At 36.6% G+C, this 24,003-nt stretch overlaps 1 long non-coding RNA gene and 1 pseudogene across 3 annotated transcripts in view; one reads left to right on the top strand and one right to left on the bottom strand.

The window, feature by feature from the left end:
- LOC105379102 (uncharacterized) overlaps positions 1-24,003 on the top strand; it is a 328,753-nt gene that overhangs the window by 260,591 nt on the left and 44,159 nt on the right. For all 3 annotated transcript variants that reach the window (XR_007058891.1, XR_948628.3, XR_001742829.2), the window contains one exon: positions 2,024-2,108. This is a non-coding gene — a long non-coding RNA (uncharacterized LOC105379102). The remainder of the gene's footprint in view (positions 1-2,023; positions 2,109-24,003) is intronic.
- Positions 11,617-11,915, bottom strand: RN7SL802P (RNA, 7SL, cytoplasmic 802, pseudogene; annotated as a pseudogene).

Here is a 24,003-nt window from a genome sequence, read left to right as displayed (position 1 = left end):
GTATTCTCATCTTGTCTCTTCCTGCTTACCAGTTTCACCTCTGAACAACTGAGGACCATGAAAATGGGGTCCAGTGTTTCTTACCTGCTGAACATAGGATCTATATTCCACCCAATGAGAGGATACTCAAAGGAAGAAATAGAGGCCTGGTACTCTTAGCTTTCTTACCTGGAATAAAACTTCTGCAAAACAGAGCTGGTGTATGTGACAGGGGCTGGTGGTAGAGGACAAATGCTAATGACCAGCCTTTCCTGGGAAGAAACTGTAGCCCAAACCTGGTAGCAGGTGAAAGACGGAACCATGCCTTCTTCATTCTACCTATGTGGCTTAAAATGTTTATTATGTAGAGCTAGAGAGGTAGAAAAGAATGAATCTTTACACACATGTCAAGGACTTTTGCTATATATATAATATATATGTGTGTGTGTGTGTGTGTATATATATATATGAAAGATCAATATTTAAAATTCATAAATTTCTATATCTTAGCAATACAAATCTGAAAATAAAATTTAAAAATCAGTTTCATTTTTAATAGCATCAAATAGAAAAAAACGCTTAGAAATAAATTGTCATATATATATATATATATAGAGAGAGAGAGAGAGAGAGAGAGAGACAGAGAGAGACAGAGAGAGAGAGAGAGACTCCCTCTGTCACCCAGGCCAGAGTGCAGTGGCGTGATCTCTGCTCACTGCAACCTCCGCCTCCTGGGTTCAAGCAATTCTCCTGCCTCAGCCTCCCGAGTAGCTGGGACTACAAGCGCCCAACACCACGCCTGGCTAATTTTTGTATTTTCAGTAGAGACAGGGTTTCACCATATTAGCCAGGCTGGTCCCAAGCTCCTGATCTTGTGATCCATCCACCTCGGCCACCCAAAGTGCTAGGATTATAGACGTGAGCCATTGCACCCAGCCGTATGTTTGTTTTTTGGAGACAGGGTCTCTGTTGCTCAGGCTGAAGTGCAATGGCATGATCATAGCTCACTGTAGCCTCAAAATCCTGGGCTCAAGCAATCCTCCCACCTCAGTCTCCTAAGTAGATGAAACTACTACCAAGCGTGCACCACCATTTCTGTATTTTTTTTTTGTTTGGATGTGATCTTGTTATGCTGCCCAGGCTGCTCTTAAACTTCTGGCTTCAAATAATCTTTCTGCTTCAACCTCCCAAAACAATGGGATTAGAGGCATGAGCCACTGTGCCTAGCTCTTGCTGTTCTTTATATAATTTAATAGTTTTTCTAAAAAATAAGTGATTCTTTATTTATTGTGTGCACTCAATTTTATAGATTTTAATTTTTAAAAAAATTATATATTTTTTTAAAAAATGATATTTGCCAATTGTGATTGTTTTTCTGAGTACAGGGTCTATGGAACTCCTCCTGTCACTATTCTAGAGGTGCTAGGTTCTATCTATAATGTTTTAAAATAAGTTATAAGATATAACATTTTAAAATAAGTAATAAGTATTTAAAATAAGTAATAAGTTATAAAATGTTTTTATAACTTATTTTAATGGTTGACCAAGGTATTGTATTATGTTTATATAGTTTTCCTAATAGTGACATCATTTTACATGTTTTGGTGACATCTAGAAATCTTACTTATCCTCCTGTTTATAACTGTTTTAAATATTTCCTGTATTTACATTTTGAATATTATCAGTCAGTGTTATAATTTTGACTTCAAATGTCAAATATAATTTAGAAAACTCAAAAAGAATAAAATTCAATTGTATTTGCCTACTATGTTCTTCCATCCTTTCTAATGTTACAAGATCTCTCCTTATATAATTTTTTGTTTAGAGACTTTCTCCTTTAGCTATTTTTTTAAAATCTATGAATATGTTAAGTTATATGGCAAAAGGAACTTTGCCACAATCCATAAGGAAAGGGACTTTTCCTTAATCTAAGAATATCTTGATTTCCCTTTTGCTCCTGAAGAATATTGTTGGTAGATATAGAATTGTGGATGTACATGATTGTTGTGTTTTATTTTTCTTTTTGTTTTTGTTTTCCTTTCAGGACTTAAAAGACTATGACACTTTCTTTTGGCCTCCATCATTTCTGATAAGAAATTCACTGTCTTTCAAATTATTTGCTCTCACAGGTAAGGTGCTGTTTCTCTCTATAGATTTCAAGATTTATTTTTTTTCTTTAGTTTACAGAAGTTTGAATATGATATAACTTGTCATGGACTTATTTAAGATTATCTTGTTTTGCATTCATTTAGCTTCTTAAATCTTAAGTTTTATGTCTTTTGCAAAATGTGGGAAGTTTTCATCCATTTTTCAGTACATTTTTGTTCTGCCTCTTTTCTCCTCTCCTTTTAGGATTCCAATGATGTGAATGTTAGACCTTTTTTTTTTTTTTTTTTTTTGTAGTCCAAAAAGTGCCTGAGGCTCTTCTTACTTTATTTTTTCAATATTTACTGGGTTTTGGATTCTGTTCTCTCTACCCTGCTGCTGAACCCGTCTGTTGAGCTTTTCGATTATTGAATTTTTAAGTTCAAAATTTTTCCTTTGTTTCTTACTCATATCTTCTGTGTCTTTGCTGATTTTTTTTTCCATTTGTTCAAATGTGTTAGTAATTGCATGTTGAAGTATTTTTATAATGGCAGTGGTAAAATATTTGTTAAATAATTCTAACATCTCTCATATCTGTGTTGACATCTGTTGATTAACTATTTTTTCTCATTCAGTTTGAGGTTTTCCTGATTCTTGTTAGGAGGAGTAATTTATTAAAAATTAAAGCCTAGACATTATGGATATTAAGTTATAAGACTGGATTCTACTCCTATTTTAGTTGGCTCTCTCTGACCCCACTGCAGTCTCATTTAGATGTGATGGAGGGAATTGCCTAATTATTTTCAGATGAGGATAGAAGTCCAGATTTCTCACTAGGCCTCCATTTACACCTGATGAAGGTGAGAGCTCCTTATAGTTGAGCTGGGTTGGGAGTTCTGGCTCTACAATAAGCCTTTTTGATGCCTTCCTGGCTAGGATGCATAGTGCTGCTTCATTATTTCTTTCCAAGTGGCTTTAATGAACACAACAGAGAAGGGGAATTATCTCACAGCCAGAGGAACATTTTGAAAATTTTGACTTTCCATGTGGCCAATTTTGGTACTATTCTTGTTACCACCAGGTGGTGGTGTAAGTCCAGGCTCCACTGGTGGTTTCCACTGAGACCATGAGGAGGGGGTTATTATGCCCCAGTATGGATGAAAACGTAGGCTTCTTTCTTGGACATCAACCAGGTGTTGTGATTAGAAACCTCATTATAGCCTGTGGGCATGGAAACCTGCTCAGTGTTTTTTGGCATGGGTGGGATTGGGCCACAGTATTTTTCTTTTATGATTGGCAGGAGTAGAGTGGTAATTATCTAAATGATTTCTGATATGGTTTGGCTGTGTCCTCCAAAATCTCATCTTGAACTGTAATCTCCATAATCCGGATGTGTCAAGGGAGAGACCTGGTGGAGGTAATTAAATAATTTGAGTGGTTTCCTCCATGCTGTTCTCATGATAGTGAGTGAGTTCTCATGAGATCTGATGGTTTTATTAGTGTTTGGTAGTTCCTCCTGCGTTCATTCTCCCTCTTGCCACCTTGTGAATAAGATGCCTTGCTTCCCCTTCAACTTCCACCAAAACTGTAAGTTTCCTGTGGCATTCCCAGCCATGCTGAACTGTGAGTCAATTAAACCTCTTTCCTTTATAAATTACCCAGTCTCAGGCAGTTCTATACAGCGTATGAAAATTCACTCATACAATTTCTATCTTTCTAGGCTGTCTATTACTTGGGAAGAGAGATCAGTTACTTGGCTAGTGAGATTAGTCTTTGCTGAGGAATTATTTTGTCTGCTGTTTTGTTTCTGGATTCCGACCTTCTTTGGTTCCAACTCTAGGATATATGAAGCTAAATGAAAACCCAGTAAAAGCACTACTGTGTCTCCAGAGTTTCTTGCTTGTCTGCCTTCTCTTCACCTTTCAGGGGCTCATATATTTGTTTTATATGTTATGCCCAGGGATTTTAGTTGGGCTTAGCAAGAGGATTGTGGAGAAGGACATTTAAAAGGACATCTATTTCCAGAAGTACCTTTCTGGAAGCATAAGTCTATGTTTTTTTGTTTGTTTTTTGTTTTGTTGTTGTGGCTGTTCTTTTAATTTCAAACACTGTTCAAATTTTCTTGTGATCTTGCCTACATTCATTCAGGTCATGATATGCTAACTTATGTAGCTTTCTTTTTTTTTCAGCCATATATTTTTTATTTTTTTATTTTATTATTATTATACTTTAAGTTTTAGGGTACATGTGCACAATGTGCAGGTTTGTTACATATGTATACATGTCCCATGTTGGTGTGCTGCACCCATTAACTCGTCATTTAGCATTAGGTATATCTCCTAATGCTATCCCTCCCCCCTCCCCACCCCAACAACAGTCCCCAGAGTGTGATGTTCCCCTTCCTGTGTCCATGTGTTCTCATTGTTCAATTCCCACCTGTGAGTGAGAACATGCGGTGTTTGGTTTTTTGTCCTTGCAATAGTTTGCTGAGAATGCTGGTTTCCAGTTTCATCCATGTCCCTACAAAGGACATGAACTCTTCATTTTTTATGGCTGCATAGTGTTCCATGGTGTATATGTGCCACATTTTCTTGATCCAGTCTATTGTTGTTGGACATTTGGGTCGGTTCCAAGTCTTTGCTATTGGGAATAGTGCCGCAATAAACATATGTGTGCATGTGTCTTTATAGCAGCATGATTTATAATCCTTTGGGTATATACCCAGTAATGGGATGGCTGAGTCAAATGGTATTTCTAGTTCTAGATCCCTGAGGAATCGCCACACTGACTTCCACAATGGTTGAACTAGTTTACAGTCCCACCAACAGTGTAGAAGTGTTCCTATTTCTCCACATCCTCTCCAGCACCTGTTGTTTCCTGACTTTTTAATGATCGCCATTCTAACTGGTGTGAGAGGGTATCTCATTGTGGTTTTGATTTGCATTTCTCTGATGGCCAGTGATGATGAGCATTTTTTCATGTGTTTTTTTGGCTGCATAAATGTCTTCCTTTGATAAGTGTCTGTTCATATCCTTCGCCTACTTTTTGATGGGGTTGTTTGTTTTTTTCTTGTAAATTTGTTGGAGTTCATTGTAGATTCTGGATATTAGCCCTTTGTCAGATGAGTAGGTTGCGAAAATTTTCTCCCATTCTGTAGGTTGCCTGTTCACTCTGATGGTAGTTTCTTTTGCTGTGCAGAAGCTCTTTAGTTTAATTAGATCCCATTTGTCAATTCTGGCTTTTGTTGCCATTGCTTTTGGTGTTTTAGACATGAAGTCCTTGCCCATGCCTATGTCCTGAATGGTATTGCCTATGTTTTCTTCTATGGTTTTTATGGTTTTAGGTATAACATGTAAGTCTTTAATCCATCTCGAATTAATTTTTGTATAAGGTATAAGGAAGGGATCCAGTTTCAGCTTTCTCCATATGGCTAGCCAGTTTTCCCAGCACCATTTATTAAATAGGGAATCCTTTCCCCATTTCTTGTTTTTCTCAGGTTTGTCAAAGATCAGATGGTTGTAGATAGGCGGCGTGATTTCTGAGAGCTCTATTCTGTTCCATTGATCTGTATCTCTGTTTTGGTACCAGTACCATGCTGTTTTGGTTACTGTAGCCTTGTAGTATAGTTTGAAGTCAGGTAGTGTGATGCCTCCAGCTTTGTTCTTTTGGCTTAGGATTGACTTGGCAATGCGGGCTCTTTTTTTGGTTCCATATGAACTTTAAAGTAATTTTTTCCAATTCTGTGAAGAAAGTCATTGGTAGCTTGATGGGGATGGCATTAAGTCTATAAATTACCTTGGGCAGTATGGCCATTTCCACGATATTGATTCTTCCTACCCATGAGCATGGAATGTTCTTCCATTTGTTTGTATCCTCTTTTATTTCCTTGAGCAGTGGTTTGTAGTTCTCCTTGAAGAGGTCCTTCACATCCCTTGTAAGTTGGATTCCTAGGTATTTTATTCTCTTTGAAGCAATTGTGAATGGGAGTTCACTCATGATTTGGCTCTCTGTTTGTCTGTTAATGGTGTATAAGAATGCTTGTGATTTTTGTACATTGATTTTGTATCCTGAGACTTTGCTGAAGTTGCTTATCAGCTTAAGGAGATTTTGGGCTGAGACGATGGGGTTTTCTAGATATACAATCATGTCATCTGCAAACAAGGACAATTTGACTTCCTCTTTTCTTAATTGAATACCCTTTATTTCCTTCTCCTGCCTAATTGCCCTGGCCAGAACTTCCAGCACTATGTTGAATAGGAGTGGTGAGAGAGGGCATCCCTGTCTTGTGTGAGTTTTCAAAGGGAATGCTTCCAGTTTTTGCCCATTCAGTATGATATTGGCTGTGGGTGTGTTATAGATAGCTCTTATTATTTTGAGATACATCCCATCAATACCTAATTTATTGAGAGTTTTTAGCATGAAGAATTGTTGAATTTTGTCAAAGGCCTTTTCTGCATCTATTGAGATAATCATGTGGTTTTTGTCTTTGGTTATGTGTATATGCTGGATTACATTTGTTGATTTGCGTATCTTTTAACAATCTATAAGAGTATGCCTTTATATCTATGGAGCAATATGATAGAAACTGTATTAGTCCATTTTCATGCTGCTGATAAAGACATACCTGAGACTGGGCAATTTACAAAAAAAGAAAAAAAGGTTTAATTGGAGTTACAGTTCCACATGGCTGGGGAAACCTCACAATCATGGTGGAAGGCAAGGAGGAGTAAGTCACATCTTACATGAATGGCAGCAGGCAGAGAGAATGAGGAAGATGCGAAAGCAGAAACCCCTGATAAAACAATCAGATCTGGTGAGACTTATTCACTATCACAAAATTATGGGAAACAGCCCCCATGATTCAATTATCTCCTAGCGGGTCCCTGGCACAACACATGGGAATTATGAGAGTACAGTTCAAGATGAGATTTGGATGGGGACACAGAGCCAAACCATGTCATTCTGCCCCTGGCCTCTGCCAAATATCATGTCCTCACATTTCAAAATCAATCATGCCTTCCCAACAGTCCCCCAAAGTCTTAATTCATTTCAGCATTAACTCAAAAGTCCCCAGTTCAAAGTCTCATCTGAGGCGAGGCAAGTTCCTTCTGCCTATGAGCCTGTAAAATCAAAAGCAAGCTACTTATTTCCTAGATACAATGCGGATACAGACATTGGGTAAATACAACCATTCCAAATGGGAGAAATTGGCCAAAACAAATGGGCTACTGGGCCAATGGAAGTCTGAAATCCAGTGGGGCAGTCAAATCTTGAAACTCCAAAATGATCTCCTTTGACTCCAGGTCTCACATCCAGGTCACACTGATACAAAAGGTGGATTCTCATGGTCTTGGGTAGCACCGCCTCTGTGGCTTTGCAGGATACAGCCTACCTCCCAACTGCTTTCACAGGCTGTCATTGAGTGTCTGTGGCTCTTCCAGGTGCACGGTTCAAGCTGTCAGTAGATCTACCATTCTGGGGTCTGGAGGACAATGGCCCTCTTCTCACAGCTCCATTAGGCAGTGCCTCAGTAGGGACTCTGTGTGGGGGCTCCAACCCCACATTTCTCTTCTGTACTGCCCTATTAGAGGTTCTCCATGAGAGCCCTGCCCCTGTAATAAACTTCTGCCGGAACATCCAGGCGTTTCTATACATCTTCTGAAATCTAGGTGGAGGTTCTCAAACCTCAGTTCTTGGCTTCTGTGCGATGGCAGGCTCAACACCATGTGGAAGCTGCCAAGACTTGGGTCTTGCACCATCTGAAGTCACACCCTGAGCTCTACATTGGCCTTTTTCAGCCATGACTGGAGCAGCCTGGACACAGGGCACCAAGTCCCAAGGCTGCACACAGCTCGAGGACCTGGGCCTGGCCCATGAAACCACTTTTTCCTCCTAGGCCTCTGGGATTGTGATGGGAGCATCTGCCATGAAGACCTCTGACATGCCCTGGAGACATATTCCCCATTGTCTTGGGGGTTAACATTTGACTCCTCATTACTTATGCAAATTTCTGCAGCCAGCTGGAATTTCTCCCAGAAAATGGGATTTTCTTTTCTCTCAATTTGTCAGGCTGCAAATTTTTCAAACTTTTTTGCTCTGCTTCCCTGTTAAAACTGAATGCTTTGGACAGCACCCAAGTCAACTCTTGAATGCTTTGCTGCTTAGAAATTTCTTCTGTCAGACAAACTAAATCATCTCTCTGAAGTTTAAAGTTCCAAAAATCTCTAGGGCAGAGGCAAAATGCCGCCATTCTCTTTGCTAAAACATAGCAAGAGTCACCTTTGCTCCAGTTTCCAACAAGTTCCTCATCCCCATCTGAAACCATCTCAGCCTGGACCTTATTGTCCATATCACTATCAGCAATTTGGGCCAAAGCATTCAACAAGTCTCTAGGAAGTTGCAAACTTTCCCACATTTTCCTATCTTCTTCTGAACCCTCCAAACTGTTTCAACCTCTGCCTGTTACCCAGTTCCAAAATCACTTCCACATTTTTGGGTATCTTTTCAGCAATGCCCCACTCTGCTGGTACCAATTTAGAAACAACAACTACATTTAGAGAAGTAGAATAGTGAAACATACCCAGTAATTAATCACAGTATCTATGGAAACACAGTCCGTTTTCAGTTATCTGTTTAATTTTTTTGAAATCCCTTTGCTACCTCTTGCTATCATGGGTACCATAGGATCACTTTAAGAGGAGATAAACTTATTATGTTCAGTAAAAACTTTGTTTCAATATTTGGTCATTAATATTTATATATATTTTGGTAACCTCAAGTCATTAAAATTTCATTTTATTTTGTCGCTCTATAATTGTACACTAGGGAAGAACTTCGACTGAGTAAAAAGTATAAGAGAGCTACATTGTTTAGGAGGTGAAGGTATTAAAAATTGATATGGAATAACAAATCCTGGAAACTGACCAAATACGGGCTCTCTACCAAGTGTCTGAGTTTTTAAAAATCACAATAAAATTGTTTTCTATACTTTAAACATACCAAATGAAAAATATGATAATAAGAATAATATAACACTGAAAACATCTAGCATGAAAATGACCTTTAAAAACATTTGAACCCTATATGTGTTAGAGGTATATGTATACGTGTGTTTGTATATATATATATATATATATATAGAAAATAAAATATATATTTTTAAATATACATAATTTTTTTATATTTGGTAACTATTGAAAGGCATTGAAAGGGGAATGTTTTCTAAACAATCCCTTGAAGGTTATAATAAAAATATTAGATTCTTACTTGGAAACCTGGATAGGTAGAAGATTTTATTTTCCAAGTTGAGTCTTGTCTTTTGGTCTTGTATTCTGATGTGGATACTAGTACCCCACCCCCTTGACAGAGAAAAAAAAATATTGAAACAGATAACTTCTTTTTAAAACTATAGTCTGAGCTTTTTAAATGGGATGAAAGAGACAAAAGAAAAAAATAAACCATGACACCAATAATAACATAAGTTAGGCTTGAAAAATAAAAACTGTAATTTGTAATGCAATTTTACATAGAAGGACCAAGATAAAGTGGTTGAGAAAGGAATAAAAAACAAGTTTCTTGAATCATTAATATCTGCTGCATACCAGAATAGGCATTCTCAAACATACTATTGCACATTCAAACTAAAAAACCCTTAAGATGTATGGATTACATTTGTATGATAAGAACTAGAGAGGTTATGTAACTTTTTTTGAAATGAGCAGCTAGTGAGAGACAAGGCATAGAATTTGAACCTGTGCTTTCAGATGACAAAGCCCATACATATCTTCCACTTTGAAAGAATAATTCACATGGAATTGTTACCTGTGTATACTTGAAAAAGAATATTTAATGCTACACAAAACCATAAACAACAGACACTGGGGCCTACGTGAGGGTGGAGGATGAAAGGAGAGAGAGGATCAGAAAAAATAACTCATGGGTACTAGGCTTAGTGATAAAATAATCTGTACAACAAGCCCCGGAGACATGACTTTACCTATATAACAAACTTGCGCTTATACCTCCAAATCTAAAATAAAAATTAAAAAGAGAAATCTAACACTGAGCTCAGTGTCCTGACATTATTATTCTCACTTCTCACACCAAATAATACCGAATATCTCAATTTTGTTGAGAAAAATACGTTTTCTTTCATTTCAAAAGATAATAAAGGATAATTTGTGGACTTATTAGAAAACTGCTTTGCAAATTCTGTTTTTTTTTGAGACGGAGTCTCGCTTTGTCGCCCAGGCTGGAGTGCAGTGGCGTGATCTCCGCTCACTGCAACCTCCGCCTCCCGGGTTCATGCCATTCTCCTGCCTCAGCCTCCTGAGTAGCTGGGACTACAGGCGCCCACCACTATGCCCAGCTAATTTTTTTGTATTTTTAGTAGAGATGGGGTTTCACTGTGTTAGCCAGGATGGTCTCGATCTCCTGACCTCGTGATCTGCCCGCCTCGGCCTCCCAAAGTGCTGGGATTACAGGCGTGAGCCACTGTGCCCGGCCACAAATTCTATTTTATGTAACCGAATAACTGTGTCTTTCCTTTCTAGGTCTAAAAATAAATGAGAATAAATTGTGGTAGACTGTAACTCAAACTTCTTCAACCTGCAGCCTGTGAGCAAGGTGGCCCAGGACAGCTTTGAATGAGGCCCAACACAAATTCATAAACTTTCTTAAAACATTATGAGTTTTTTTTGCAAATGATTTTAGCCCATCAGCTATCATTAGTGTTGCTGTATTTTAAGTATTGCCCAAGACAATTCTTCCAAAGTAGCCTAGGAAGACAAAAAGACTGGACACTCCTGCAACTCAACAAAGATAGAGTGTGGTCTCCAATTACGATGACTGTGATTGTGGCACAAAGATAGAACATTTTAAACTCGGCACAGCATGGTGGCTCACACCTGCAATTCCAGCACTTTGGGAGGCCAAGTTGGACAGATCACTTGAGGCCAGGAGTTCAAGACTAGCCTGGCCAACATGGCAAAATACCATCTCTACTGAAAAATACAAAAATTAGCCAGGCATGGTGGCACGAGGCTGCAATCCCAGCTACTGTGGAGGCTGAGACACAAGAATCGCTTGAACTTGGTAGGCGGAGGTTGCAGTTAGCCAAGATTGTGCCACTGCACTCCAGCCTGGGTGACAGAGTGAGACTCTGTCTCAATAAATAAATAAGTAAATAAATATATATTTTAAAAAAAGAATATTGTAAGCTGGTGCAGAAGGGCATTTTGTGAATTTTTACTTGAAATTCAAAACATGCAAGTCACATGATGAGTATATTTACTGCACTTATTTCACTAAATTAAGTTCACAGACACAACAGTAACTTGAAATGATTAACCTATTTATGCTTTCCAACATTATCTTATAATGTATAAACATTACACATTTTAAATTAAATATATACATACTGATGTAATATACATATTTAACCTAAAGCATACAATATTTATTTATTTGCTAAAATACCAGTGTATGCCTAAGACTGCTTTCATTTCAAGCTTTAAAAAAATTATTTATTTATTTATTTAAATAATTTATTTTAGAGATGGGGTATTGATAAGCTTCCCAGGCTGGAGTGTGGTAGCTATTCATAGGCACAATCCCACTACTGATCACTGCAGGAATTTTTACCTGCTCTATTTCTGACCTGGGCAGGTTCACTCCTCCTTTGGTAACCTGGTGGTTCCCTGCTCCCAGGAAGTCACCATATTGATGCTGCACTTAGTGTGAATGTTGGATCAGCATAGTGTACTATATCCCAGAACTCCTGGACTCAATCAGTGTTCCTGCCTCAGTCTCCCAAGTAGCTGGGAGTACAAGCACGCATTAACATGCCCAGCCAAATATATATTTTTTAAATCTAACCTGTAGTCACAGGGCATCTATGTTTTCAGTTTGGATTTGTATGAATTAGAATAGGAACTTATATTTAAAAGGACTCTGAGCAACAAATTTTAATTTTATCATTTTCTCCAATCACTCAGTCATGTCACATTTAATCTGAAACCCTTTATATAATATTGACAGCATTAACCTTAATTAAAGTAACTATCATAATAACCATGGCATAAACAGATTGTGGAAGAAAAAATTACTTATGTTGGAAGTATTCAATTCTACTGGTGGGCAGACAGTTTTCTGGGCATTCTAAAGAATCAGTGTTCCCATGCACACATATGTTTATTGCAGCACTATTCACAATAGCAAAGACTTGGAACCAACCCAAATGTCCAACAATGATAGACTGGATTAAGAAAATGTGGCACATATACACCATGGAATACTATGCAGCCATAAAAAATGATGAGTTCATGTCCTTTGTAGGGACGTGGATGAAACTGGAAATCATTCTCAGTAAACTATCGCAAGGACAAAAAACCAAACACCGCATGTTCTCACTCATAGATGGGAATTGAACAATGAGAACACATGGACACAGGAAGGGGAACATCACACTCTGGGGACTGTTGTGGGGTGGGGGGTGGGGGGAGGGATAGCATTAGGAGATATACCTAATGCTAAATGACGAGTTAAGAGGTGCAGCACACCAGCATGGCACATGTATACATATGTAACTAACCTGCACATTGTGCACATGTACCCTAAAACTTAAAGTATAATAATAAAAAGAAAAAAAAAAAGAATCAGTGTTCCATAGACATTGGTCTAGGGAGTACTGATTAAACCCACAAGTCAGTTAACTGGAAATAGGTAAAACCATTCATTGCCTTTGTTTTACATTCACTTATCATGCCTGAAGAGTGACAGTCCAGGAAATGTCTTCTATTCCTCGCAAAGGGCTTGGAATAGCTCTCTTTCTAACCACCACTTGTGCCACCTCTAACAAATGCAAATACCATGAGCCACATTCTGACTACAATGTGAAGCTAGTTGTGACTAATGCTTGTGGGTTGGTATATTTTCTGTACCAACTGTTCTTCCAGATGATTGGATCTATAATGGTGACGGGTGTTGTGGGTTTTATTACTCCTCTTTACTAAGAAATTTTTGTGCACTTAAATGTTTCGGTTGTATATTATTATGCTCAGATGGCTTTCTCTCTTTATCCTGTCTTACTCATATTATAATCATAATCCTAAATAGTAATAATATCTAGTAACCTATTCTTTTCCTCCTTGCATCAAGCATGTAATATACTCAGAAGAGCAGGAAACAACTCTTATGAACTAGGACTCTTTAGGTTTCCACATGGCTAAGAATGACTCTGACATTTTTAACTATTGTTAAGCAACTCATTTTTTCCATTTGAAGGGGAAAAGAATATGCCACTCCAAAAATATGCTGCTTTGGCATAAGAATTATTTAAGTTAAAGGCAATTGAGAAAAAGCTCTCCACCTTCTCCTGTGTGCCTAAAAGCAGGACATAACTTTTCCTTGTGAGGGTATGTATTAGTCCATTATCACATTGCTATAAAGAAATATTTGACACTGGGTAATTGATAAAGAAAAGAGGTTTAATTGGTTCAGGGTTTGCAGGCTGTACAGGAAGCATGGCGGCATCAGGTTCTGGGAAGGCATCAGGGAGATTTTACTTGTGACAGGAGCAACTGTCTTCCTGGCAAGAACAGGAGCAAGAGAAAGAGAGAGAGGGAGGAGGTGCCACACACTTTTAAATGACCAGATCTCAGGAAGATCACTGACTATGGTGAGGACAGTACCAAGGGGCATGTTGCTGATCCATTAGTGAGAATTGAGCCTCCGTGATCTAATCACCTCCCACTGTGCCCTACCTCCAACATTGGGGATTGTAATTAAACATGAGATTTGCACGGGGACACAGATTCAAGCCATATCAAGACATCTTCCTCTTTCATACCAGGAAGGAAGGAACACCAATTATCCATGCACATGGAGAGAGTCCTAAGATGAATCTAAGTAAACAAAATCTTACTAGATAGCTCCTACCTTCCATCCACATATTCTTGCCTTCCACAATTTACTGCCCATAGAAGCATGGACCCCTTTTTTCTTTTTCTTACCACATCTTCTCAATTTGTCATCCTCTGCTAAGATTATATATAAGTAATACAAATTTAATCACCTCTTTGGATATTGACTTCTATTCTGTGACTATGCACATAAAATTTTTAAATATTAACATTAAATAAAAATTGTATACCTTTCTCTTTTTGATGTATTTTTTAGTTTAATTCACAGTTTGCGGCTACATACCCTTAAAGGGTAGACATGTTAGAAATATCATATTATATATTTTAAGTGCCAATAACAGTATTTTCCTATATGATTCTTTTGAGTACTCAGTTGTGGAGAGGAATAGTGTTGTGAACATTTTATTTTAGAGGCAGTGTATGTACTATTGAAGAGAGTTCTGTTGTCAGACTGACAACTTTTAATCTTACTCCGTCACTTACTGCCTGATTTTGAGAAATTAAGTCATCGTACCTTACAGTTTTTCTAAATATGAAAACAAATTTATTTCCTCATAGGATTGTTGTAATAATTTTTAAAAACCTCTATAAACACAAGTCATGTAAAACAGTATCTGACTCATAATTTTAAATCAATGTTAGCTTTAAATAATAGTATAAATGTAGCAAACTCAAAACAGCCTATGTCATAAACTCCAGTACACTGTAGCAAAACAATACTCATATTACATTAATGATATTAGCTTGAATTTTATTCAGTTTGAAGCTGCTGGAGCTCTGAAAATGATACCATAAACTTTGGCACTTGGACATGCTAAGTGCTTTGAACTAAAACATGTTGGAGAGGACTCAGAAGCAGAGTCACTCTGACCTTCTCCTGCCCTCCATTCTCCTTGCTCCTCTTTCTCTCCCAAGGCAAGTTGTAGAATCTAGAATTCCTCTTCCCCAATGTGGATCATAGAAACTAGAACTCCTCTCCTCCAAAGTTAGCCATGAACCCCAGAAATACTACTTCAGCCTTCCTTCACCTTTCTGTGTAAGAGCTGGCCATAAAGAAATGGACTTGCCTTGTCTGAGAGCAGATCATAATACTCTCATTCCAGAAAGGGTCCGGCCTTATACTTGGGAAGAAGAAATGTCACACAGAGAAGCCAAGAAGAATCCGATCAGACAGGCCTTGCTGGGTTTGCCCGCTCAATCTAGTACTATTACATTATTTCGTTTTTGTTTAATCACGTGTCTCCATGGCTGTTCACTTGTTATTGAATTCAAGCATAAAAATGCACGGTCTTCCCTTGAGTCTTTAGGTCTTCATTTCTCAAGGCTCCTGTGTCATATAAAAGTTTCATCAAATAAATGTATTATGCTTTTTTCTTGTTAACTTGTCTTTTGTTTGAAGAATGTAGCTAAGATCCTTACGATGGGAAGGAAATGTATCATTCCTTTCCACCTCTACAAAGCTTTTAAAAAATTTGATTTTTAATAGTTTGTAATTTAACTTTGGTTTTATTTCTTTATAAGGGCCCTCAGTTAACTCATATATGAGAAACACTCTTATATATCTTCTACCCCTCTAAGTCATGCAGCTCAATTTAACCTATAAATAAGTACATTCAAGTGGTATGTTGGACAGCATAAAAATGAGCAAATTGTGAGCTTCTGGCAAAAAGCAATGTAATATTTTTTATTTGGTAGAAAGCTGGGAATCTGCTCTCTCTGCTAAGAAGTCAGGGTAATTTTGAATATAAATAGACTAAAAATTTACTAATACAGTTGAGTAGCTAAAATAAAACTTTTACTTTATGAGACAATAGAAAATATAATTATACGCTTATATACAATTTATATTACATTTGCATTTTTTGTAGAAGCTAAATTTTTCATCTCACTAATGTATTTATATAATCAGATAAAAATTTGCCTCATTCCATATATCTAATTACTCATTCATAATTTAACATATACCTTTGACTAACATGAAACTAGTCAAGATTCTTACTTTTCATAGAATTTTCTTAGACATTTAGAGCAACTTCTCTTAATCATCTGGTTCTTAACTCCTTTCCATAACATGACACAGATATGAAAAATGAAATAATCAGGCTGAAGTATAAAGTAACATATTTATAAAGTTGTTCCGTAAATTGTCCTCTCCTACCCGTTAGATGACTGATGTGATTGATATACTTAGTGCTGTAGTAGGATTTTGTATTTTCTGTTGCCATGAACAAAACAGTTTCATGACACAGGAGCATATCCTGTACATGTGGTAGTATGGTAATAACATCAAGTGTCTCACCACTTGTACATTAAATAAAAACCTTCTAAAATGATTCTATATGATATTTCAGAAACAATTTTGGAAGGCATAGCCAATTTAGAAAGGGCTATGGAAAGACTAGGTTTTCATTTATAAATAAGACCACATTTTAACTAAGGATTTAGGATTTAGATCTATCTTTAGCAGTGGCTGCTTCCCATGATGAATATCTTAAGAAACTGAGAGAAGGCAACCTTTTAGGAAAATGTTTCTGCTTGAGATGGTCTTCATTTAATTACATTGCTTAAACACTGACCAATTTGGTTTAGCAAGTTTCTTTTTTTAAATCTAAATATCTTAGTGTGTGTATTCATTTGGTTTATTAGTCATTTATACCTACTATAGAATACTATGAAGTATTCATACCCACTCTAGAATAGAATACAGTAAAGTTTACATTTTAGAACACTATAGAAATTTCCATAAGAACTCTCCTAATATACCCTCATATTTAATAGCTCAATATTCAAGGTCATTTAACACAACAGTGAACACCACTGTTTCAGGGGCTAGACTTCCTGAAGACCATAGGAAAGTCATGAGAACCTTAGGGAAGTTATTTAAATTATCTTTGCCTCAGCTTTCTGATTCATGAAAAGGGGATAATGTCTGATATTGTGAGAATTAAATGAGGTAATATATGTAAAATGCATAGAAGAGTAGCTGGTATGTGATAAATTCTCTTTTGCTATTGTTGTTATGCTTATTAATGGAAGTCTGCACAGTTAATTTGCCCTAAGTAAAAACCAGGGTTAGTACTTGTAGATACTACTTAGAAACATATTTCTTTAAGTAATTCATTAAATGTTTGTGGAAGGAGTGAGTGGAATGAGAACTGATGCCTTCTGTCTCAGTCATCACAAAGCCACATCCAGAGGTAAGACATAGCCCATCTCCTTTAAGTGGCTTGTGTTCTGTAGGAGAGGGGTAGATGAGAGGAGACCTGTACTACTACTTGATTTTCAGCAAGAAACGAATAGGGCAGCAGAATCAAACAATTATAGGACTGCCCCTTCTGCCTGGCTTCATCACACTTCAGATATCAACTAAATGGTACTTTGACAAATGGAAGAAATTACTGTACTAATTTGTTTGTAAATGAACCAGACACACTTAAGTCTAGATTCATAAAGTTAGTATTTCTGTCATCCTTAAATCAAATTTTTGATCCAATTGAATAAAATTGACCAGAATCAAGTTCTAACATAGTGATCTAATACTCTTTTAGCAGTAATGTTTAAGAAACTAAAGATAAGCATCAGTGTTTATAAAATGACTGAAAGTTGCCATAAGTAAAAACATCACATCAGTGAAAGTGATGAAGAACTTTAAAATGCTTTCTGAGATCAAAACATAAAGAATCAATTTAGTGAATACGACATGTGCTCTAATCATGTTCTCAACATTATATCTCACTTGCTTTCTTTTCAACAGCTCAATGTTCCTGGCCTAATCATCTCTTTTCATGATAGATAAGGAATTCAGTGTTTCTAGTCCTCTCAGAACAATAGTTGATCTTAGCCTCCCTTCTATATACAGTATGTATAACCATAAGTAATTGTGCTGATGGCTAAAGTTCCCACTGTTCTTTTCCACAAAAACTAACATTGCTCTATTATAGGTATTCTTCGCCTTTGCTTGTAGGGCCACTGCTTACCAAATAGCAGTCATTTCTTTTCAATAATGCCTGGAAAGTTCAGCACAGGAAAGTTAAAGCCCTTTTTCTTTTTTTGAAGTCCATCTTCTTGGGAGAGACAGTCAAAATGCTAGAATTAGAAAATTCTCTGATTTTATATGGGATAATTATTCTCCCTATTCATACCCTTACTGATAACTGGGTGATGGAAAGGGGCGGGCTAGGACAGGGATGAGGTTGTGAGTGTTTCTCAAAGGCGATGGAAAGTAATTATGCTAGCAGTCTTAGGTCTTTGCTCCCTAATACTGAAATTCCAGTGGGAAATATGTGAGGCCATGACTACCATCAATGCTAAAATATACAGGTAAAGCCTCCTGTTCTGTATCTGTATATAACTCTATATACAGGACAGTTTGGGGGATATATTGAATCAAAAGAAGGAATAAAACGGGGAAAAATCAATTGATAAGGCAAATGAAGATCATTTGAGATCAACAGGGGATTGGACACAGGACAGAAAAGAAAGGAAGGATAAAAGCTTAAGGTGAAAGTATCCTACCAGGGAGGTTACTGGATTTGTGATGGAAAGGAGTTATTTGTGATGGAAAGGAAGGCAAAATGATATTGGGAACAGACACAATGAAAGTCATTTAACGGGTGTGGTGGCTCACGCCTGTAGTCCCAGCACTTTGGGAGGCCGAGGCAGGCGGATCACGAGGTCAGGAGATCGAGACCATCCTGGCTAACATGGTGAAACCCCATCTCTACTAAAAAATACAAAAAAATTAGCCGGCCGTGGTGGCACGTGCCTGTAGTCTCAGCTACTCAGGAGGCTGAGGCAGAAGAATGGGGTGAACCCGGGAGGCAGAGCTTGCAGTGAGCCAAGATAGCGCCACTGCACCCGAGCCTGGGTGACAGAGTGAGACTCCCTCTCAAAAATAAATAAAATAAATAAATAAATAAATAAATAAATAAATAAATATTCAAATATTTACTTTGATGTTATAAAATACATGTTTATGTTTCATTTTCATGATAGTTTTTAGCCTTGGTCTTTTTCTAACTCAGCATTTGTTTAGATCTGCTTATATTTTACATTCAAACCACAATATTTCTGAGGAAGAAACATACAATATGTAATCAGGGTCAGGATTTGAGTCCCTGCCCTTGCCCTCACTATCTTTGTCATCTTGTTCGAGATGCTATAAATTCTTATTTGCAAAATAAGTTTTTTTGTTTTTTTACAATACATAGTTTATATGGTTGTTTTAAAGATTACATAATGTAGATGGAAAGTGCTTTTAAAATATAAACCGTTAAGCTGATCTATGTTGCTTTAAAAATATGGTGAAATGTAAGATTCTTGTGGTGGTTTTATCCATTCTAGTTTGTTAGACTTTTGAAAAATCCATGTGTTACTTACCAAACCTGGGTTTGGTTCTGCTTGAGCCCTTTCATGCTTCTGTTGCCTGAGGGTTGCTGCCATGTCACAGCACTGGAAGTTTATAGACAAATCAGTGTCTTGGTCCCGGGCACGGATCCCATGTTAAATAGATGAGTCCTAAGATCTGTGATGGTGTCCACGGGAGTTGACAGCAGGCATTCAAGCTAAAGGCTGATGCAGTGGAGAGTTCTCTGGAGCCTTGGCACTAACATCCTGGAGACATCTATACTCAAAGATATTTTGGCATCTTCCAGGAGGTTCTAATGCCTTCACAGGACAAACTTTCAAGCTTTCTTTTTCAATCTTCTTCAATCTAGCCATTCCAGCTCAATTCAAAACAGTTACAATAGTTTAATATCGTTGGGGGCCAGGCCCAAAACACCTTCTTTCTCATTTTTGCTCTTTCTATTCAATCTTTTAGCCAAAGCTTTGTTTACAGGAATTCTGAAATACTGCTTTCCCTCTACAAGTGACATTTTTTTTTCCTCTGCTCTCAATTAGTCATGATTAACAGCTACCACGGTAATTATAGCCAAGGTGAAATAAGTAACTCTAAAGTAATTCTAAAACCTAGCTCTACTGCCTTGGCAGCCCTCTGCAGCTGAGAAAGGCCACAGGAGTTTGGTCTGCCACCTCTGTGGAGATGCATTACAGAGAATAATTTACCTTGACCTGTTCTCAAAACATAATTACTGTTTAAAGTCAAAGATAGACACACATTTTCATATCAAGTTACTGAAGATTTAAAAAGACACACACACACACACACACACACACACACACAAATCAAAACAACAACACAAAAGCCTCTGACCATTATTTTGTCCTCTTAAAAAAGCTACCCACTTTTGTGCTTTAGCTTCTTATTGCTATCAAAATAATGGTATTTTTCTAAACACACATATTATTTATTTTTAAATAATTGACATTGGATTATTTTGCTCTGAGTTTATGGTAAATTACTAATCTTTTTTTTTTAAGTGAAAATTTGTCTATCACTAGTGACCACAATCATCCTCTGTGTTTTGTTGGAGTTTTTTAACCACCAATGAAAGCAAAGTTTACTTGGTCTTTCATACACAAATTTTGCTATATATCTGTGTTGCCTATTTACTTTGTGATATTTATGTGTAAGAGTGAACAAAGGAGCACTACTTTTTAAGTCTTTGAGCGTTATTTTTTTTCTTATTCTCAGAAAAATAGTTGTCAACTGTGTTCCCATGTCCATAGCCTCATTTATCTCCAGTGCTGTTTGAACATGGTCTCTGTGGAGATGCTTAGAGGGAGGTAGGAGGAAACAATAGGGAATAGATAAAGGCTATTACTCTGTATCTTTTGAAATGTTTGCAGATTTTCTAGTCTTTACACAATAGTTTATTAAAAATGTCTCTCTCAACAGCACCAGAAATTATATAAGAAGCTAGATGCGTTAGTCCAATATTACTGATTTGGTTTTGAGATTTTTTAAAATGCATCTTTGCTCCGATCAATAATACTGATGTTTTACAGGTCTCAGGCTTGGATCTTGTTCTAATCTTATGGTCTATAGTTTCCAAGGCACTCGTTATTGAATTGTAAGCTATAACTACAAATATCATTGAAAAAATTTTCAATTCCACCTAGACTCTGTGGCCATAGTTTTACCACAATCATTTCCTTTATTACTATATAACTAGTATTTTTCTATAGGAACTAACCATTTTTACTGCATTTTCAACATGATTTAATTATAATAAGACTTTAAATATTTCCCAAAGATCAAAGTATGTCTCGACATTTTTCAGAAGGTGAAGTAGAAATAGTTTGTATGGGGAAACACACTTTTTTTGTAAATCTCTTATTGACTTTTTCAGTACATGTTTATTAGCATTCCCTAAAATTACAGTGACAACAATGCTGATATAATACAAAGTACATATTTGGCAATTATCAAATTTATTTGGTCTTATAGGTTCAGATAAAACAAATGTCACATGGCTCTCAGATTGCTTTCTGGGTTATGTTTTTTTTTTTCTAGACAGACATTATATAACAATGACATTAGCAAATAAATGACTCCAAAGTTAAAATTTTAATTAATTCTATGAAGCTCAGATGACTGAAGTATGGCACAAAGAAAATATATATACTATTTCAATCAATCAAAAAGACAATATATGCAAAATTCAATCTTATTTTGCTGTCACTATATTTGAATCAATTCCCTAACAGTGGCTAATGAAAAGTGAAAGAGTTCATTTTATATTTATGGATACATATGTAATGTAGAAGATTTTCTTTTCATAATCACCTCTAATATTATCTTTTCTGAGTGCATATTTAGTAAATTATATAAAGCATGAAACATGCATTATCTCATATAATCTTCGCAAAAGTACCAAGCCAAGATAAGAAAAGCAGATTGCCTGAGTTCACAGCTTGTTTCTCACACTCACCAGCTGTGTGACTCTTGGGGAATCACTTCACCTTTCTATGACTCCATTTTCTTGTCCATAAAATCGGAATGATGATAATTGTACCTATTCATAGGGCAGCTGTGAGAATAAACCATGATAAAGTCATATGAAATACTTAAGGGTCTAACACCGAGTAAGCCCTTTATAAATGTTACTACTGAAATGATATAATTGTTATCATTATCACATATTATGGATGAAGAAAATAAGCACAACTTTCAAGAATGTTTCCATGAGCACACAGGCAATAGATTATGAAGTTGCGATTGTAACACAGATAAACCTGATTTTAAAACCAGAGTTCTTATGGATTCCTCTGGTCTCTCTCACTGCTGGTGAACTCTTTTCCATTGACAGTCCTAATACAGATTTTTCAGAACCATCTTCCTTAGCTATATTATTCATTCTATTGTGAAACAAAATATGTCTAATCAAATGAATAGCCTTTGTTGTTCCAGCCAATCAGTATTTCTCTTATTTCGCTCAAAATTTAAAGATTTATGCTAATTTGGAGTTTCATATAGTTTTAACACTTTACACTGTTTAATAACTAGAAAATAAATGACATATGCTTAATATCATTGTCTGAAGAATGTTTATGCATTAAATTGATAAATATTTGAAAATAAGGAATTGTTAACTGCTCATTATCCACTTTTTTAGGTAAATGTGGTTTTTAGTATTATTCATCTAACTGGGTTTTTTTCAGATGTACAGAAATCATAAAAAATGTATTTTTAAAATAAAGATTTGAGTCTCTTGACCTACTTGTTTTATATTATGTCATTCTATCACATAAATCCTGCACATGTATTTTACTTCTCAGCATGTTAATGGTAACCTTGAAAGCAAAGAAATTCTTTGAAATACTCTCTGAATAAACAGTTTCTCCCCAACCCCTAACTCATTCCCAAATGCCTAGTACAAGTGTCCTGTGACTTTTACTTTTATCATTCTATCACCTCTATTGCCTCTAATCTTTGTGTCAAAAACCCAGTTTTCTTCTCCACTGCCTATTTTTATTTGATTTAAATTTAAACACCATAAGCTTTTTTTTTTAACACCTCATAGAAAGAGGCATTAACCTCCTTATATATCTTCCAGTATCCTATGGAAATGAAATGAAGAGCAAATATAATTTTAAAATCACAATGTGTTTAATAACAACAGCAAAAAGAGTTAAAGGCAAACGAATGCATTCAGAGCAACTGTCAGAAATTCAAATGCTATTTTGAGTTTAAAAGTTAAGAGTCCAATTTCATCCATGTCCCTACAAAGGACATGAACTCATCATTTTTTATGGCTGCATAGTATTCCATGGTGTATATGTGCCACATTTTCTTAATCCAGTCTATCATTGTTGGACATTTGGGTTGATTCCAAGTCTTTGCTGTTGTGAATAGTGCCGCAATAAACATACGTGTGCATGTGTCTTTATAGCAGCATGATTTATAGTCCTTTGGGTATATACCCAGTAATGGGATGGCTGGGTCAAATGGTACTTCTAGTTCTAGATCCCTGAGGAATCACCACACTGACTTCCACAAAGGTTGAACTAGTTTACAGTCCCACCAACAGTGTAGAAGTGTTCCTATTTCTCCACATCCTCTCCAGCATCTGTTGTTTCCTGACTTTTGAATGATCGCCATTCTAACTGGTGTGAGATGGTATCTCATTGTGGTTTTGATTTGCATTTCTCTGATGGCCAGTGATGGTGAGCATTTTTTCATGTGTTTTTTGGCTGCATAAATGTCTTTTTTTGAGAAGTGTCTGTTCATGTAAACTATCGCAAGAACAAAAAACCAAACACCACATATTCTCACTCATAGGTGGGAATTGAGTAATGAGAGCACATGGACACAGGAAGGGGAACATCACACTCTGGGGACTGTTGTGGGGTGGGGGGAAGGGGGAGGGATAGCATTGGGAGATATACCTAATGCTAGATGACGAGTTAGTGGGTGCAGCACACCAGCATGGCACATGTATACATATGTAACTAACCTGCACAGTGTGCACATGTACCCTAAAACTTAAAGTATAATAATAATAAAAAAAAAGTTAAGAGTCTAGAGTAAAAAGATTACTTTGAAGAATGTTAGAAAATACGGCACTTTTATAAATTTTCTAATTTAAGAGACAATATTTTGAGCAAAGTTGTA

This window comes from Homo sapiens, chromosome 5 (assembly GCF_000001405.40).
Source record: "Homo sapiens chromosome 5, GRCh38.p14 Primary Assembly".
Classification (NCBI taxonomy): domain Eukaryota; kingdom Metazoa; phylum Chordata; class Mammalia; order Primates; family Hominidae; genus Homo; species Homo sapiens.
The sequence above is the reverse complement of the archived record's forward strand: the minus strand, read 5'-3'. Positions and strand labels throughout refer to the sequence as shown.